Source organism: Homo sapiens, chromosome 11, assembly GCF_000001405.40.
Source record: "Homo sapiens chromosome 11, GRCh38.p14 Primary Assembly".
Lineage (NCBI taxonomy): Eukaryota > Metazoa > Chordata > Mammalia > Primates > Hominidae > Homo > Homo sapiens.
Genome location: NC_000011.10, coordinates 58,546,982 through 58,566,134, shown reverse-complemented (window position 1 = coordinate 58,566,134; position 19,153 = coordinate 58,546,982). Strand labels below are relative to the sequence as shown.

At 37.8% G+C, this 19,153-nt stretch overlaps 1 protein-coding gene across 11 annotated transcripts in view; it reads left to right on the top strand.

Annotated features, from left to right (window-relative positions):
• The window catches only part of LPXN (leupaxin), a 52,021-nt gene that overhangs the window by 12,757 nt on the left and 20,111 nt on the right, over positions 1-19,153 (top strand). For 6 of the 11 annotated variants that reach the window (NM_001143995.3, NM_004811.3, XM_017018579.3 and 3 more), the window contains exons 3-7: positions 1,934-1,980; positions 11,195-11,294; positions 14,903-15,070; positions 15,989-16,162; positions 16,268-16,349. In NM_001143995.3, coding sequence (NP_001137467.1) covers positions 1,934-1,980; positions 11,195-11,294; positions 14,903-15,070; positions 15,989-16,162; positions 16,268-16,349 — 571 coding nt within the window. The other 5 variants (XM_047427882.1, NM_001307951.2, XM_011545390.3 and 2 more) reach the window with 2 other exon arrangements.

The window sequence follows — 19,153 nt, the reverse complement described above, 5'->3', positions numbered from 1 at the left end:
ATGTTCCTGAAAAATGTCCACATCCCAATGCTAGAGACAATAATATCTAAATAACCAATTAAGGTATGTGAATACATATAAAGAATAATTGTCTGTACCATTAAAAATGTTCAGATAATCAATTTTTTGTTGTTGTTGAGACAGAGTGTCACTCTGTTGCCCAGGCTGGAGTTCAGTGGCATGATCTTGGCTCGCTGCAACCTCCGCCTCCTGGGTTCAAGCAATTCTCCTGTCTCAGCCTCCCGAGTAGCTGGGACTACAGGCACCCACCACCATACCTGGCAAATTTTTTTGTATTTTTAGTAGAGACAGGGTTTCACCATGTCTGGTCACATGACACCAGGCTGGTCTCAAATTCTCCTGACCTCAAATGATGCACGTGCCTCAGCCTCCCAAAGTGCTGGGATGATAGGCGTTAGCCACTGTGCCTGGCCAATATTTTTTTAAAGTTGCTTGAATGTTCATAACTTTGTATCACTATCACTTTAAGATATTTCAGGAAATTTTTATTTTGAAAATAAATTTTGGATAGAATTATCTTATAGGTCCACCAATATAATAAGACCAAATTCAGGTCAATAAACACATTTTTTTTTTTTTTGAGACCGAGTCTCGCTCTGTCACCCAGGCTGGAGTGCAGTGGCATGATCTCAGCTCACTGCAATCTCTGCCTCCCGGGTTCAAGCAATTCTCCAAGCCTCAGCCTCCTGAGTAGCTGGGATTACAGGCACGCAACACCACTCCCAGCTAAATTTTTATAGTTTTAGTAGAGATGGGGTTTCACCATGTTAGCCGTGATGATCTCGATCTCCTGACCTCGTGATCCGCCTGCCTCAGCCACCCAAAGTACTGGGATTACGGGCGTGAGCCACCACGCCCGTCCAATAAACACATATTTTAAAAATGATACAAGCTCGTGACCCGTCTGCCTCGGCTGCCCAAAGTACTGGGATTACGGGCATGAGCCACCATGCCTGGCCAATAAACACATATTTTAAAAATGATACAATATGACTTATTTTTGGAACCCATTTTCTTTCTAAAAAATACCCCATTCTGAACGTTTGGTGATGTGGCCACCTCATCTGTATGATCTGGCCCCTTTACTTGCTGTCCCTGTGTCCTTGGTTCACTCTGCTCAGGCCACACTCTCCTTCTCGTGGTTCCACAGATGCTCCAGGTGGTTTTCCTGCTGGCCTTTCCACCTGAATCATATGACCCCAGATATTTGCTTTCTTTCCCCACCTCCTATATAAGTCCTTGCTCAAGCGTTCTCTTCTCAGTGAGTCCTTCCCTGATCAGTATATTTATAATTGCTGTCTCTCCCCACTTCCCATCCTCTATGCAGAATATTACTTTTACATACCAATTTCTTTATTATTTGTTTCACAGCACCAGAATGTAAGCTTCAGGGCTTACAGTTTTTATTTGATTTTTTTGCTTTTTGACTGCTACATCCTCAGCCCTGGCACATGACAGGCCCTCAATACATATTTGTTCAATTAATAAATGAATTGCCAGCCAACCATCTTTTAGATTCACATGTTATTTCTTTTCATATGTCAAGTTTAATAACATTATAGTCTCCTCCTAGGCACCATCCTGTTTAGTTAAAGGGGCTTAGCTCTGACCCATTTTATTTGATTTATGGTTCTTATCTAAGGAGGATCAACTTCTCTATTTGGGTGGTTTTTAGGCAAGGAGGGGCTGCTAGTGTTTGTTCACATGCCAACTACTCTGTTTAGAATTTGGCTTTTCTTTGTGGGATGGCTGGTAATTCCTCTGGCTTGTGAAAGAAGAGCTCATAGATATGCCACTTGTCAGTCCCCTTTAAAAGCTACAAACATCTATTAACTGTGGGTATCATTAAGCCTCAACATTCTGATAACAAAAATTTATTCTTTGCTCTTCTCTTGTCACTTATATATCTTAGGCGCAGCTCGTGTATACTACCAATATCCAGGAGCTCAATGTCTACAGGTATTTTTTTTTCTATTAAATGCTTTTAAAAATTAAAGTTAGTAGATAATTGTTATCAATCTTTGTTTGGGTGATAATTTGCTTTGCAAGTGTTTATTATTAGAACTCGTATATCATCCTCCTCTTTCCATAGTCTTTGAGCATAGGTAGAATTCTGTGAAGCTGACTTGACAACTTCTCAAGGTGCCTGGCTTCTGGAAGGGTTGTCTAGGCTAGTGGGCCCTGCTATGTCCATTACCACCTAAAGAAGTGTAAATACTCCCAGAGTTACCACAGATGTTTTGTCCACGCTATTCCAGATGTTATGCTTCAGTTTCCTGAAAGATAAAACACACCTGAAGAAACTTCAGCAAGATTCTAGCAATGTCAGAGCTAGGATGAGGGTTAAACTAAGACAGTGGGTCTCCATGGCCAACTGATGAGTATTTACTTTTTCTTTCCATATTTGCTCAAAATTTGTATAGTGGGTAGAGGGATTTCCTTTTATGAGAAGTTCCATATTAAAACAGATACACTTACTAAATCATTTCTCCTGGCTAAAGCAGAATTGGCAGTCTGAAAAAATAACAAGATTAACTTACTTATTCTCTCCTTAGTTATAGCTTGCAATTTTTAACATCAGACAACTTTCTGGAAAACAAATTAAAGAGCATAAAATATAGATAGTAAAGATTCATGCTTGGGAAACAGTGCTAGATCACACCTTATTTGGTTTCAGGATTGCAGTCAATAGTGCACACATGCAAGGCAAAAATAAGGCAAGAACTGTGCTACAAGAAGTTTTCTTAAAACTTCCCTCTTAAGGATGCTTTTTACTTTGGTGAAGGTGAGGCCAATTTATTGATACATATTGCCAGTTTATTCTAGTTCCAAGGATGTTGCCAGATGAGAATTCCTCCTAGTCCCTCCCCAGTCCCTGAAGCCCCAATGAAAAATAAAAACAAAGCAAAACAATAACAAAAAGTGGCTGGCACACAATAGGTCCTCAGTAAATATTTGGTTTCTTAAATCTAGGAAACCAAGACTCCAGTAGAAATGCGAGTGAATGCATGAACATATAACATGAAAACTAGCCCAACCAACAGCCTGTATATCTGGCACTGTGATTATTAACTGATGGTGTACCAATACTAACTTATTGACACCCTCTTCCTCATAGTATGGGCCTCTCTGGCCTATTTCCCATGATTTCCTCCTTCTCTTGCTCTGTATTCCAGGGGAGCTGACCCCTTGGGTTTTCCAGGCTCCAGGATCAGTTGGTCCTCACTGTCTTCAACCAATGGGAGGCACTGTGGAAAGACTGCAGGGTAAAAAGCAGTGAAATCCAGGGCATTTCCCCCCCACAAGTCGCTCTATTTCCACAGGATCTCTGTCAGCAGCTTTATCTTCTTTATGACTTCAGCTGGAGCACAACAGGTCTGCTGTGGTTTCACCTTCTGCCTGTTGACTTGGGCCCCTAGCTCTGGTAACTTCTCCTCTTTTCTTTTTCCCTTTGGCTTAGGGGTAGTAGTGACTTCTGGGTTATTCAGTGTCTTCTGTTTTGCTTCTTAGCTCTCCCCTCACCTGTGTAATCAGGTTTCTGGTCTAAACTCTGTGTACTCATGTGGTTTGTGTTTTCCTGACTGGCCTTTGATGTACTTCCTATTACTGAATGATACTTGCTGTGTAGCCAGGCCTCTGTGGGAGAGTGACATAAAATCCAGGTGACCTAGTAAATATGTAATAGATAGATGCACATCCCTGAGACTAGTATCACTCTGAGCTGGCAAGGCTAGCATATAAATAGAATATTAGACACACAAACTAGATTCCTGCATTCTGTTTCTACTATTTACTCTGGCTTGCTTAAATGAACTAAATATTGCTTTTAACATACCTTCAAAGTATTTTCAATACTAGCTCTGAATATAACAATGCAATAACATTTCTAGTATAGTTATATATCAATAGCAACATGAGCAATAATTTAGAAATGTATCTTTTACATAAACAAAAATAATTCTGGTAATAATCGAGAGGAATAAGTCATAAAAATATAACAGAGAAATAAGTAGGGGAAAAAAACCCAGCACAATGAAGCCCCTTGCTTAAGTCTGGATTCTTTTAGATGCATCTCTTGTGATATGTGTTACTGAAATCTCTGAGCAGTGAAGTAAGTTGCTGCTGATGACATAGCCAAGCATCTTTACTATCTTCAAAAGGTCAGGGAACAAATCAAAGGTTCTTCTCTTTTCAGGAACATTTCCTGCAGTGGGCACTTTAATTTGTAATCATTAACTCTTCAAGGTCTCTCATTTCTTATGTAGAATTTTATACTGTTGACTCAATAACTGTTGGAGTATTATAACAATGATCTATTTCCCTTTCTACACTGCACTAGGACTCTAGTTAAAAACCAGTGGGAATTCTTTGAATAAGCACAAATTTGCCCCAACTGTGAGATTGGAAGGTTTTTTAGGAATATACAAGCCCTGCTAAGAAACTGCATTTGTTCTGCATTTGGGCATAGGGCAGCAGAATGTGTTCACAGTCCTGCTGCCTTTTGTATTCCCAAGGCATTTGCCTGTGGCAGCAGCTACGAAAGGATTATGACTGATCGAGCTGTGAGAAAAAGCTCCAGTGTACCTTCTGGGAAACATCCACAATGGATTGAATCAATTACTTGCATACTTGACTGGTTTTGCTCTCAGATTAAAACAAAAAATCTTGCATCTAGTAGAGGGCCATGTTGTACCTAAAAGATAAATCTTTTATCTTAAGAGATATCCATTTTCCTCTTATATTTTCCTTGTTGTTAAGTGATCAAAAATAAGTGGACATGAGATATGTCGTATCCAAAAGATAGTCTTTTCTTCTTAAGAGAGAAAAGTATCAACTTTTCTTCTACTTTTTTTCTGGCTGGTAACTACATAAAGATAAGTAGTAAATGTATGTTTTCATTTTTGAAAATATATTAAGTGAAAGACAGAACATTTACTTTTATTTATGACTTTGCATCTTTGTGCAGAGAGAGAGAGAGAAAAGGCTTGAGTAGTCGTGAGACAGAGGGTTTTGGTTTGGTGGGTTGTTAGCTAAGCTCTGTTGATTAATGTTGATTACAAACATGATTCCACAGTCAGTTACCTTTTTATACCTTTTGGCCCGGTGATTTCCCTTCTTAAAATTTAACTCTTATGTAAATGATCAAACATGGGTGCAAATATTTGTTTGGCAGTATTGATTATAATAATGAAAGTTAGAAAACAATCTAGGTGTCCAGCAATAAATTATTAGTTTGATAAATTATATAATACATTATCTATTTGAAAATATATAGCCTTTAAACATTATTTTGGCAGATAATTCAGGACACACAGCACAAACTTTGCAGTTTGCAGGCCCAAGCTCTTTGTTACTTGCCAACTGTATTATGTACAAAAAAGTTTTTAACTTCTCTAAGCCCCAGTTTTTCATTTGGAGGTGATAATACCTAGCTCTTAAGGTTGTTATTATAAAAGATTTAAAGAGAACCTGTGTAAAGCTCTGTATAGAGTGTCAGGCATAGTGCAGACAGACATTCAATAAATGCTACCTATTATGGTTGCAGAAGATAGAAAAATGTTTGCATAAGAGTAGGAAAAATGTATAATTTTAGTTTTCTAAAATTACACACAATCATAGTTAAGTGTAATGGTATCAGCCAAAATGTCCAGAGTAAATGCCTCCTGAAAAGGGGATTATATGTGTTTAAAATTTTTTCTGTATATTTCTCTGCAGTTTTCAAATTTTCTACACTTAACATGTGTTAATTTTATATTTTAGAACAATTTTAAATAGAAAGCTCTACACTGTGACTATATTTATGTACTTTACTGAAGATTGTTTGTAGAACCATTGTGTGTGTATGTGTGTGTATAATAACTGAGATATACAGGTGAATTGCATTACTGATGTCTCATCTGACACCTCCACCACTTCATCTGTTGGCCATGTGTGTTAGCTATTTTCCTAGTATAGATGACCTGTGTTTTGTTTTGTTTTAAAAATATAACTTAAGATACAAAACTATTTCATAAACTCATGTGCGTAAAAAGTCGAAGAATTTGGAAATGTATACATAGGGTGAAAATTGAGACCACTCCTCTTAGAGTCTTTCCTCTCACCAACTCATTACCAGCTCCACAGGTAACTGCTGTCAGGTTCTTCTCCTTACAGACTTATGTGTGTGCATATTCATACTTATGTACATGGGCTTATAAATTTATATAAATGGAAGTAAATTTTTTTCTTTTTTAAATTTGAGATAGGGTCTGTCTCTATTGCCCAGGATGGAGAACAGTGGTGTTATCTTGGCTCACTGCAGCCTTGACCTCCTGGGCTCAAGTTATTTTCTCATCTCAGCCTCCCAAGTAGCTGGGACCACAGGCATGTGCCACCACACCCAGCTAATTTTTAAAATTTTCATAGAGATGGAGTCTCCCTATGTTTCCCAGGCTGGTCTTGAACTCCTGGGCTCAAGCAGTCCTCCTACCTCAGCCTCCTGAAGTGCTAGGATTACAGGCATGAGTGACTGCACCAGGCTGGAAGTATAATTTTCGTATTGTTCTGGGCTTTTCTTTTTTACACTAACAATGTTTGTTGGAAGTCTTTTTTAGTTCACTTAAATCTATGTCTGCTTAGCAGTTGCATGTTATTCTATAGCATGGATGAACCATTATTTATTTTACTTTAGCTCCATTGGTTTATTTCCAATTTGCTCATAGAAAATGTACCCTAATAAATGTCCTTGCACATATATTTATATATATATGTCCAATTTTTCTGTAGGATAGATTCTTAGTAGCAAAATTGCTCAATCAAGTGGTATATGTGTCTGAAATGTTGATAGATACTGCCTTGCAAAAGTGTTTATAAATTTATATAACCACCTATGGTATATATAAATGTGTATGTGTATATATATAAAATTCATATTTTGCCAACACTGCATATTATCCCTCTGTTAAAATTTCAACTAATAGGTAAATATTAGTATCTCATTGCTTTAAATTGCAAATTTAAAGATTAATGAGGTTGAGGGTATTTTTATATAGTAATAAACATTTGAGTTTCTTTTTCTGAAACCTGCTTTTTAAAAGAATCTTTAGCTCAGGTTTCTATTTTTCTAAATTATTTATACATTTCTTTAAAATCTTGAATATTATGTTTTAAATATTTATTTATATTTAAGTTTTGTGAACTTAGCTGTATCAATATTTTTTTCATTTTTGAAATCACTTCAGAATTTTATGTCCATCTTAGGAAAACCTTCATTACCCCAAATTGTAAAATATATTCTTCATTTTTCTATTATCTTTACATTTAAAAATATTGATATCTATCTTTAATTTGTCTCAAATTTATTCATGTATTTGGTGTGTTGGGGATCCATATTTATTTTGTACCAAATAGGTTGTTATTCTTTGAGTCGAATAGTCTGTTTTGGATGATTTGAAATGCCCCATTGCTCATATAGGAAGTTCTTTTAGGTGCAGGAGCCTGTTTCTGGGTTTTCTAATCTACTCCTTTGACCTATTTGTTTTTCTTTTTCTTCTTCCTTTCCTTTCTTCTCTTTTTTTTTTTTTTTTTTTTTTTTGACAGGGTCTCATTCTGCTTCTGTTGTCCAGGCTGGCATGCAGTAGTGTGATCACAACTCACTGCAGCCTTGGCCTCCTGGGCCAAAGTGATCCTCCTGCCCCAGCCTCCTGAGTAGCTGAGACGACAGATGTGTGCTACCACATCTGGCTGATTTTTAAATTTTTGTAGAGACAGGGTCTCCCTATGTTGCCCAGGCTGGTCTTAAACTCCTGGGTTCAAGCAGTCCTCCTGCCTCAGCTTCCCAAAGGGATCACAGGTATGAACGATCGCACCCAGCCCTATCTTCTTTACCAACATCATACAAATTTAATTATTGTTACTCTATAAGACACCACATCTATCAAGACAAATCTTCCCTCCTGTTTTTTTTTTTCTTTACAACTTTTAATTTTTATAGAGACCAGGTCTCTCTCATGTTTCCCAGGTTGTTCGCAACTCCAGGTCCCAAGTGATTCTCTTACCTGGACCTCCCAAAGTGCTGGGACCACAGGTGTGAGACACCACACACCCCTCCTATTTTGTTTTTCCAAAATTGTCTTGAGTGTTCTATCCCATAAATGTTAACATCATCTTATTAATTAGCTTGAATAATTATATCAGAATTTTTATTTGAATTACATTGAATTTACAGTTTAGGGGAAACTGACATAATATTTATCTTCATTTATATAGGCTTTCTTTTCTAAAAATAAATTTTATTGTGCATATTTAAGGTGTACAATATTATGTTATGGGTTATGAATAGTTAGTAAAATGGTTACTATAGTGAGGCAAATTAACATATTTATTATCTCACACAGTTACACATTTTTGTTTGTTTGTTTTTGTGGCAAGAACAGCCAAAATTTACTCTTGCAACAGGAATCCTAAATACGATACAATTTCATTACCGATAGTTCTTATGTTGTACATTAGATCTCTAGGCTTGTTCATCTTACATATCTGCTACTTCATATTCTCTAACCTACATGTCCCCATTTTCACCCCCTTTCCTGCCTCTCATCACCAGTGTATCTACATATTTGACCTTTTTAAATGACAAAAGAGGATTCCACCTATAAGTGAGATCATGCAATATGTTTCTTTCTTATTTAACTTGGTATAATGTCCTTCCAATTCATCAATGCTATGACAAATAGCAGAATCTCCTTTTTTTAAGGCTCACTAATATTCTGTTGTGTATGTGTGCATATTTCACAATTTCTTTATTCCATTGGTGTCCATCCATTGATGGACACTTAAGTTGTTTCCACCTCTTGGCTATTGTGAATTGTGAATATTGTGGCAATGAACATACGAGTGCAGAGATCTTTACGAAGTGGTAATTCCATTTATTTTGTGTATGCCCAGAAGAAGGATTCCTGTGTCATGTGGTATTTCTATTTTTAATTCCTTTAGAAACCTGCATATTATTTTCTGTAATGGCTGTAACAATCTACATTCCCACCAACAGTGTATAAAGGTTCTTTTTTCTCCATACCCTGGCCAACATTTGCCATCTTTTGACTTTTTGAGAATAGCCATCTGTTTGTGAGTGGTATCTCATAATAGTTTGATTTGCATTTCCCTGATGATTAATGGTGTTGAATACCTTTTCATATACCTTTTGGCCATTTTTATTTCTTCTTTGGAAAAATATCTATTCAGGTCCTTTGCTCATTGTTTAATTGGATATGTGGATCTTCCTTTATGTCTGCCAATGGTTTTTCTTCATAGAATTCTTACACATTTCTTGTTAAATATATTATTTGATATTTTACAACTTTTGTTAGAATTGTGAACAGGTTCTTTTTTTCGCATTGGATTTTCAAACTGCTTATTGATGATCAATAAGAAAGAGACTGTTTCATTTCATTCTTGTATCTAATCACCACCCTGATCTTTTTTATTCATTCCAATGGTTGTTCAGTCATTTATCTTACATTTTCCTGGGAAATTATTATACCATCTATTTTAAAAGAAAGACTGAGGATGTGCTGCCTTTTTTTCAAATATATAATTCTCTTATTTTACTTTTAAATGTGTTTGATAATGTATTCTAGAATAATGTTGAAGATTGCCAGTGATAATAGGATCTATGTCCAACTTATCTCTTAATTAGATATCTGCTTAATAATTATGAGGCTTGCTATATATTTCTTATGGAAACATTTTATCAGTTTATAGACTTTTTCTTATTTTTCTTGATATTCAACAACAGGAATGGTTGTTAAATGTCTTCCACGGCTTTTTCAGCACATATCATTGTGTTTATAAAGCTTTTCTCCTATTTGTTAATGAATTATATTAATCTTTTTCCTAATTTTGAATTTCAAACTATTTTTGGATAACCAGTATAAACACCACCTAGCCATGACTTGTTAAAATTTTTTATGTTTTTTAAAAAAAACACATTTCAACTGATTTTATTTAACCTTCTCTCTTCACACATGCACATCGTTTTTTCTTTGATTTTAAAAAGTTTCTGTGCTATTTATAGAATGAATTAGGTAATGTTCCATATTTTTCTATGTATTTGGGAATTTTATACAATGATCCCCCAAAAACTGTCAGTTTTTGTTTTATTTCTTGTTTTCTGTTTCACTAATTTATGCATTTATTCCTTCTGTTGAATTATTTTAGATTTTTCTGAGACTCTTGACTTGGAAGTTTTATTTATTTCTGATCTTTCTCACTTTTTAATATCACACTTAAGTCTATTTATATATTTTCTTCTCAATAACATTTAGCTTTCAACTCCCAAAGGCGTGTGTGTGTGTGTGTGTGTGTGCATGTGTGTGAGTGTGTGTGTGTGTGTGTTTTCATTGCTATTTCTAACTGGTTTGAAAATTCAGTTTAATTTTTTTATCCCAAGAATTATTTAGAAGTGCTTTGTTTTTTCTTAAGTGGATAGTTTTTATGATTAATTTGTACTTCTATTCACTCCAATCTAAGAATATGGTCTATATGATGTACTTTTAAAAATTTATTGAGCTTTACTTTGTATCTTCATACATAGTTAATTTTACTAATGTTTATGCAGCTACTTGAATAGAATCTGTATTCTGTTTATTGGGTCCAAAGTTTTATTTATTTATAATTTACTTACAATTATATGAATATGAAATCATCATCATATATATTATCTAAACTTTCTGCACCAGAGATTTGCAAACTTGTTCTGTAAAGAGGCAGATAGTAAGTTTGTTAGGCTTTTGTGGACTATAAAGTCTTTGTAGCAACTACCCAACTGTTCAGAAAAGCAGCTATGGACAGTAGATAAATGAATGGACATGGCCAGATTTGATCCAAGGACCTTAGTTTGTTGATGCCTGCTCTATATTCTAGTTTATTTTTATTTTTTGACAAAAACTGACAGGAGATATAATACTTTTTATAATTAGATGACCAGGGAGAAATAGAGAAAAAAGGCAGAGAGAACTTGTTTAGATTTTTGGTCTAGTACATATTAATATATTTTTAAAATACCCCCATCTCTGATTTTAGCTTCATATCCAGGGGATTCATTATTACAGTTGCATTTCCAGTACTTTATGTGTGGTTTAACATTATTTGAGTTTTGATTTGTTCATATGACTTTTTTGTTTTCCCTCTATAGTGAAGCCCAAGAGCCAAAGGAATCACCACCACCTTCTAAAACGTCAGCAGCTGCTCAGTTGGATGAGCTCATGGCTCACCTGACTGAGATGCAGGCCAAGGTGAGTGCAGGCCAAGGTGAGTGCAGGCCAAGGTGAGTGCAGTCCAGATGATAAACAGGGCCCATGGGGTCACCAGTTTATCTTTGTGGAACTCAGCTCTCCATTCTCCCACTTAGGAATTTTCCTAAGTTGTCATTGCTTTTTTCAGACTAAATTTAATTCCATGAATTAACCCATCTTTGTACTATGTGTTATTTGGACACAAAAATTAATATATAATACAGACTTTGATCTCAAGGAGCTGGAGTGTGCTTGGCAAAATGAGGCATAAGTTTCTTAACATTTATAGAATAAAAGCCAGGTGTTTTGCAAACATATGTGGAGCAAACATTACGGATATAGAGAGATTTTGGAGATTTAATCAGAGTTGAAACTTGGGATGGACTCTGAAGAACTGGCAGAGTTTGGACATAAAGAGATGGGAAGAAAGGTGGTTTTAGTTGCAATGAGTCCTGAGGGCAGAGGTATCTAAGGCTTGATGATGTGGAAGGATTTTTCATTTGTTTGTTTGTTTGTTTGTTTGTTTTTGAGATGGAGTCTTGCTCTGTTGCCCAGGCTAGAGTGTAGTAGCGCTATCTTGGCTTACTGCAACCTCCGCCTCCCAGGTTCAAGCGATCCTCCTGCCTCAGCCTTCCGAGTAGCTGGGATTACAGGTGCCCACCACTGTGCACGGCTCATTTTTGTTGTATTTTTAGTAGAGACGGAGTTTCACCATCTTGGCCAGGCTGGTCTCGAACTCCTGACTTCGTGATCCACCTGCCTCGGCCTCCCAAAGTGCTGGGATTACAGGCGTGAGCCACTGCGCCCGGCCAAAAGGACTGTTAAAGAGACCTGACTAAGCAGGACAGAGGAGACCAGTGAGCAAGCTGAGACACAGCAAGGGAGATCAAAGTATGGCTCTGACAGTAGGAAGGATGAGAAGTCCCAAGCCCATATTGAGATAAAATCTGCCTCTTTGTTCTAGCCTCTAGAACACCTCTAAAGTGGTGAGCTCACATAGTCGGGCATGGAATGGAAATCTCAGATAAATGGGCTTAAAGATTTATTAAAGGAAATATAATCCAGAATCCTTAAGGTGGAGAATCCAACCATTTTAAATCTGGTTGGAGGATTTGATATATACTCATGAGATGACTATGAAATAATTTCAAAGCAGTATATAAAAATGTATATGATTGGAGAGGGCAGGGACCTTATCTTTAGAGCTCACCTTGGGACTCCCAATGCTCAGCACAGGGCCTGATACATCGTGAGCAACACATATTTATTAGAGAGATGAGTAAATAAACATCACAAACAAGTTTTCCTTAATGACTGACATCCTTTGATGGGCCAGTGTCTACAATAAAGCTGGGTAGATTGGCTCATTATGCTGTATATCTGAAAATACTAGAAAAAATGTACATTAGATTTAATTGTGTTGCGTTTCTAGTTGATTTAGCTTGTGTATTGGTTGATTTAAATTTTTAATTTACAACACCATCTTTTTTTTTTTTTTTTTTTTTGAGACAGATTCTTACTCGGTTACCCAGCCTGGAGTGCAGTGGCATGATCTCGGCTCACTGCAACCTCCACCTCCTGGGTTCAAGCGATTCTAGTGCCTCAGCCTCCTGAGTAGCTGTGATTACAGGCGTGTGCCACCATGCCCAGCTAATTTTTGTATTTTTAGTAGAGACGAGGTTTTGCTATGTTGCCCAGACTGGTCTCAAACTTCTAAGCTCAGGCCACCTGTCTGCCTCGGCCTCTCAAAGTACTAGGATTACAGGCATGAACCACTGTGCCCGGCCCCATTTATCTTTTGAATAAGCTGCACTTTCACATTGTACACAAATCAAAAGTGCAAAAAGCTTGCACTGAACTGTTTCCTTCTCAGCTCTGCACCCTAGCCATCCAGTTCTGCCCCACCGGAGATAGGCAGAATTTCCTGTCTCTTCTATATCTGTTCAGAAGTATTCTGGAAGATAACAGTGAAGAGATAGAGATGTAGGTGTAGATGTAGTTATATTGTATTTTTACTTATTTTTCATAATTAATGTCAGTCACCCTTTCAGACCTTTCAGACACTAACCTTCTGAACACTAACCTCTTGAATATTAACTAACATATATTAGAGAAGGAAGGATGTCTGTCAGATGATCAAAATGTCTCGAAGCAAAATGAGCATTTTGATTGGTGACAGTGTGATGTTATAACAGGCAGTAAAAGTAGGATAAGTAGAGGTCTTAAGGCAGACAGTAACAGATCACATTCAGGAGATGAAGAGCCCAGCTGTCCTTTTACAACATAGTATTAATAAAAGATGAAATTGGGAAAGATAAAAAGGGAGGACAGTGGATGGGAGGCTTTGAATGTCTGTCTGATGAGTGAAGACTTGATGTGGTGGCAATGGAGAGCCATTGTAGTTTTCTGATGAGTGAAGTATTCAGTAGATAGATGGTAGCAGTCGCCCAGCTGGAAAGGAGTAGAGAGAGCCAGAATCAGGTTATGAGGTTATGAAGGGTCAGTTAGCCTTTTTTTTTTTTCTTTTAATTTGAGGATCCTTCTTTGAATGGTTTATAATAATTTTGGGCTTTTGCTTAAATAATTCCAATCCATCAACAAGTCTTATCTGACCACTTCTCACCACCTTCTCCTGTAATACTGATCTAAGTCATTATCTGAAAATCTCCCTGTATTCACTCTTGCTTGTCAACACTTAGTTCTCCACTCAGCTACCACAGGGATCCTCCAGATTCCTTCACTCCTGTGCTTGAAATCCTGCAATGGCTTCCATCACCTTGGAATAAAACCCAAGCGTTTACCATGAGGTTCCTATGTGATCTTTGCCTCTCTCTCCATCACCTTCTCCTGCCGTGTTCAATCTCACTCCCTCTGCTCTAGCCCCACTGACCTCTTTGACTTTTCTTCTAATGTGCCAAGTTGTTTTATTCCTCGGGGCCTTCCCTTCCCCTAGAATGCTTTTCCCATAAATGTCAATATTTCTAAGTCCCAAGTATCTACTCAAATATTACTTCCTTAGAGGGGCCTTCTTTGATTATTACCTCCATCTAAATCAATTCTTCTTACCATCTTGCTGTGTCCCTTCTATCTCTTTCTATAACTTATCTCTGTCTGACATTACAACATATATTTATTTATTTAATTATTTATTGTCTATCGCCCACAGAATGCAATTCCATGAGGCCAGACACTTGGTCTGTCTTATCTTTGCTTTAATCCAAGTGCTTAGAGCAGTGATTGGCACAAACCAGGTATTCAACAATTATTGCCAAATAAATGAGTAAAAGGGAGATGTGACTAATTTTTGAACTGGGGTCATCCTAAGATCTTCAAAGGGTATCATCTTCATGTACTAAATTTCCTACATTAAGAAAAGATTTACAAATATAAAATTAGTCAGATTTCATTTGGCCTGAGGAGTTTAGGATGAAAGGGAGATGAAAAGATTTTTATTGGTGTTGAAATTTTAGATTTTTCCAATGTCTTGCAGGAAGGTTGGGGAAAGGCCAAGAGATCAGTCAGTAGAGGTGAATTTATAGAGTCATTAGAAGATGCCAATGAGAATAAAAATGAGGCTGATTCTGTTCTTGGTTCTTCCCTTGGGCCAGGTTGCAGTGAGAGCAGATGCTGGCAAGAAGCACTTACCAGACAAGCAGGATCACAAGGCCTCCCTGGACTCAATGCTTGGGGGTCTGGAGCAGGAATTGCAGGACCTTGGCATTGCCACAGTGCCCAAGGGCCATTGTGCATCCTGCCAGAAACCGATTGCTGGGAAGGTGAGATGGGCTGAAATTTTGGTCCTACAGCCTTCTTTGTCTCTCTCTGTCTCATCAAGGTTTGCTCTTTCCCCTTATATTTTAAGATATTTTAGTTAGCATTAATAATTACTAATCACTTACAGTGCTCTGGCCACTGAGCTAAGTGCTTTACAAGTATTTCCTCATTTAATGGTCACATCAGCCCTTCAAGAAGAATGATTGCTCCCTTTGTAAAGATGAGGAAACTGAGGACTCAGAGACATTAATGGACATATCCAAGGCATAATAAGAGGTAGAGGTAAGATCTGAAACCAGGAGACTGTCTCCTGAGTTTGAGTTCTTGACCATTTTTCTGTACTGCCTTTACTGAGATGACCTTTCTCACTGCTCCCTTTGTTCACACATTCCCAGTCTAAATTGATTGATTACAATTTTCAGCTGAACTCAGCTCCAAGTCACAGCTGCAAACTCCTGTTCTGCATCGTCCTTCACCGAAGCTATGATAAAAAGCTTTGAGACCTGACTGCATGGGGCGTGGAATAAAGTGTTCAAACTAGAGGAATAAAAACTGTCATTTGGCCTTTTCCTCTTCCAGGGGTCCCTTCCACACTAAGGCTACAGTTACAACTTCTCTGTCATCAATGTGCTATATGTTGTTTCTGCCACCCCCTGTGGCAGTGCAGTGGTTGTGAACATTTACAGGCTTTCATCACAGTGATCAGTCCCGGAAGTGGGCATCCTTTTATTATCAATCCATAAAGCACAGACCACAGATGGCCTTAGGTGGAACCTAGGTCTAGGCCTCAGTGTTGTATAATTCCAGGGCGTGTTGTCTACAAGGGGTACAATGTGAAGAGTGCTCCCTAGAGTTGTGCAACCTGTAGGCTGTAGAGCACTCAACTGGCCTCCTGTGTCAGGCTTTATTTCACTCCACAGGTGATCCATGCTCTAGGGCAATCATGGCATCCTGAGCATTTTGTCTGTACTCATTGCAAAGAAGAGATTGGCTCCAGTCCCTTCTTTGAGCGGAGTGGCTTGGCCTACTGCCCCAACGACTACCACCAACTTTTTTCTCCACGCTGTGCTTACTGCGCTGCTCCCATCCTGGATGTAAGTAAATCCCCGCTCCTCTCCAGCTTTCAGTCACTCACTTAGAACCAGAGTCATGCTTTACAACTTCTGCATCATTATAATATCTGTGTGTTCCCTTTCCAGAAAGTGCTGACAGCAATGAACCAGACCTGGCACCCAGAGCACTTCTTCTGCTCTCACTGCGGAGAGGTGTTTGGTGCAGAAGGTATGACCCGACTTGAGAGGCTGTATCCCACACCCCAGTGGGTAGTTATAAGACCAGCAACACCTTTCCTGGTAGTCACGGGAGTCCTGGTTCCTATCAGTACTATCAAAGTGCCCATTTCAGTACTAGATACCATCCCTCCCTACCTTTCTCCAACATTTATAATTTCCCTTTAAATTGATTTTTTAAATCACAGAAATACAAATGCATAGTTTAAAAACTCAAATATTACTTCAAGGGTAATATTGAAAAAGCCTTTTCTTGTTGAATATTGAAAAAGTCCCTTTCTCATCTCCAAATCCAGTTCTCCTCTCCAAATTATTTTAGCTGTTTCTTCTGATATTTACTTATTTTTTGTTGTTGTTGTTGTTTGTTTTTTTGAGACGGAGTCTCACTGTGTTGCCCAGGCTGGAGTGCAGTGGTGCGATCTCTGGTGCGATCTCCGCCCACTGCAACCTCCACCTCCTGGGTTCAAGCGATTCTCCTGCCTCAGCCTCCCAAGTAGCTGGGACTACAGGCACTTGCCACCACACCCGGTTAATTTTTGTATTTTTAGTAGGGACAATGTTTCACCATATTGGCCAGGCTGGTCTTGAACTCCTGACCTCGTGATCCGCCCGCCTTGGCCTCCCAAAGTGCTGGCATTACAGGCATGAACTACTGCGCCTGGCCTGCTTATGTGTTTTAAATAATAACTTTATATTGTTATAGATTGTTTTATTTTTCCAGTTTTAACCATTATGTATTGACTGTCTAAGAGGGAAGATGAGGTTTAGAAATGTTATTATTACCCCACTCACTCCTAACATATTTCCCCTCCCCTGTTTTTTCAATATATAATTATGTCATAATTACAGGTTAGATCAGTATTAAGTGTGCATATGTTGACAATCATAGAATACTGCTCACAAGTAAGCCATGTAGCAAACTGACTACACTAGAGTCTGGATTTTAGAGTCAGACTTCCAGGTTCAAATCTGGGTTGTGGTATTTGTTCAAGTCATTTAACATCTCTGTACCTTACTTTCCTCATCAGTAAAATAGTCCTAATGAAATTGCCTACCTTATAGGGTTGTTATGAGGATTTAGAGACAATACAAGCGTGGTATTTAGAATAGTGCCAAGCACATGGAGGTATAGTAGTGTTAATATTATTATCACAGTGTCCTTTTGGTATAAATTCATTTTTTTCTAAAGTTAACATTTGAATCCTTTTTGAAATTGGCTTAGTTTTTATTGTACTTATCACTAAGTTATGCAACAGAACTGTGAAATTCTTTTCAAAATGGCCAACTACATCTGGCAACAAGTCAGTTTCTTTCTTTTCTTTTTTTTTTTTCTGGAGATATCCCTCCAGGAGACTTTCCTCCTCCTGATTCAACATGAAATGATTTCTTCCTGCTGAGTAGCAGTCATTCTGGTTCATTAACTTAGAATTATATCTAGTAATTACTCTTGGAAATTCCTTTTATTAGTTTCCTCTTTGGATGCTCTGTTTCCTGGGTCCCATGTCTATGTTTTATACATGTTACCACCTTTATTTTGGTGGGGAACATCCCCTAGTAGCTTTCTGAGAAAGAATTTTTGAGAACTTGAATATCTGAAAATATTTTTATTCTGTCATTGCCCTTAAGTTGCCTGGGCATAGAATTCTAAGTGGAAACTATTTTCCTTCATAATTCTGAAGACATTGCTTCACTGTCTTCTAGCTTCCATGATTGGCAAGTTTTTATTAAATTTTTTTTATCCTTGATCCTTTCTACATGACCCATTCTTCCCCCTTTGTATGTTTGTTTCATGTGTTTTCTGAATTGTCTTGTTTTTTTTAATTTCTCCTTTTTATGTTTGTTTTGAACAAATATGGAATCAGAAAGCTGCTTTACTTTGTTTTTCTCCTGTCCTTTTAGAATGAACTCAGTGGGGAAGGATTTCTCCTCTCATAAATAAAAGCTTGTGCAGTCCTCTGTCTTTTCTGATTACTGTTAAAAAACAGTTCTAAATATAAAATCAATTTAAGAAACAAAACACAAAAACTAAGCCATTAGGTAATTCAGTCTGTGTAATAGTTAAGGCTTCCAGCACTTTAAAAGTGACAGCCACTCCCTCTCTTTTTTAGGACCTTCAAGCTGCAGGAGGCGAGGACAGGGGTATGGCCTTTCCTCTCTCCTGACCTCGCTTTGTTATCTACCACCCTCACCCTTATTGCCAGCCTTGACACCTGCCTGCTCTAGGGTTGAAACACTAGGGAGGATGGAGATGAGAATAGAAGGCAGGAAGGTCTAACTTGTCTAGGATTGTTGTTAAATTGGCTTTATGCTCTCCAGGCTCAGCCAGTGTTTAGCTCTGACTTTTTTCCCTGAATTCTTTTCGGGATTAAGACAGGTCCAGCAGTGAACTCTTGATTGCCCTTTACGTGTCTTGACTAGCTATTCTCTCCTTGTCATGTTTCTTTGAGGATTTGTTTTGTAAAGATTCTTTTTTCAAGGGGCTTTCATTGTTCCCTCCTAGTGAACCCTTAGAAATTATTAACATCGTTCCAGATAATCTCTTCCTCTCATATTTTCATAGAAGGACCATGGATAACTTACTCTTTTCTCTGACAGCCAGTGGAGTTATAATTTTTAGCTGCATGTTTCTATTCAGCTGCCATAGGCTCTTTCAGCCAGACTCATCTATGGACTTTTTCCAGGGGTAACTCTGATACCACTAACTGCATCTCACTAATGCCAAGGCACACATATCCAACTCTCTGAGTCGTCCCAGTGAAGTCCCTCTTTTAACCTGAGGTTATCAAGAACTATACC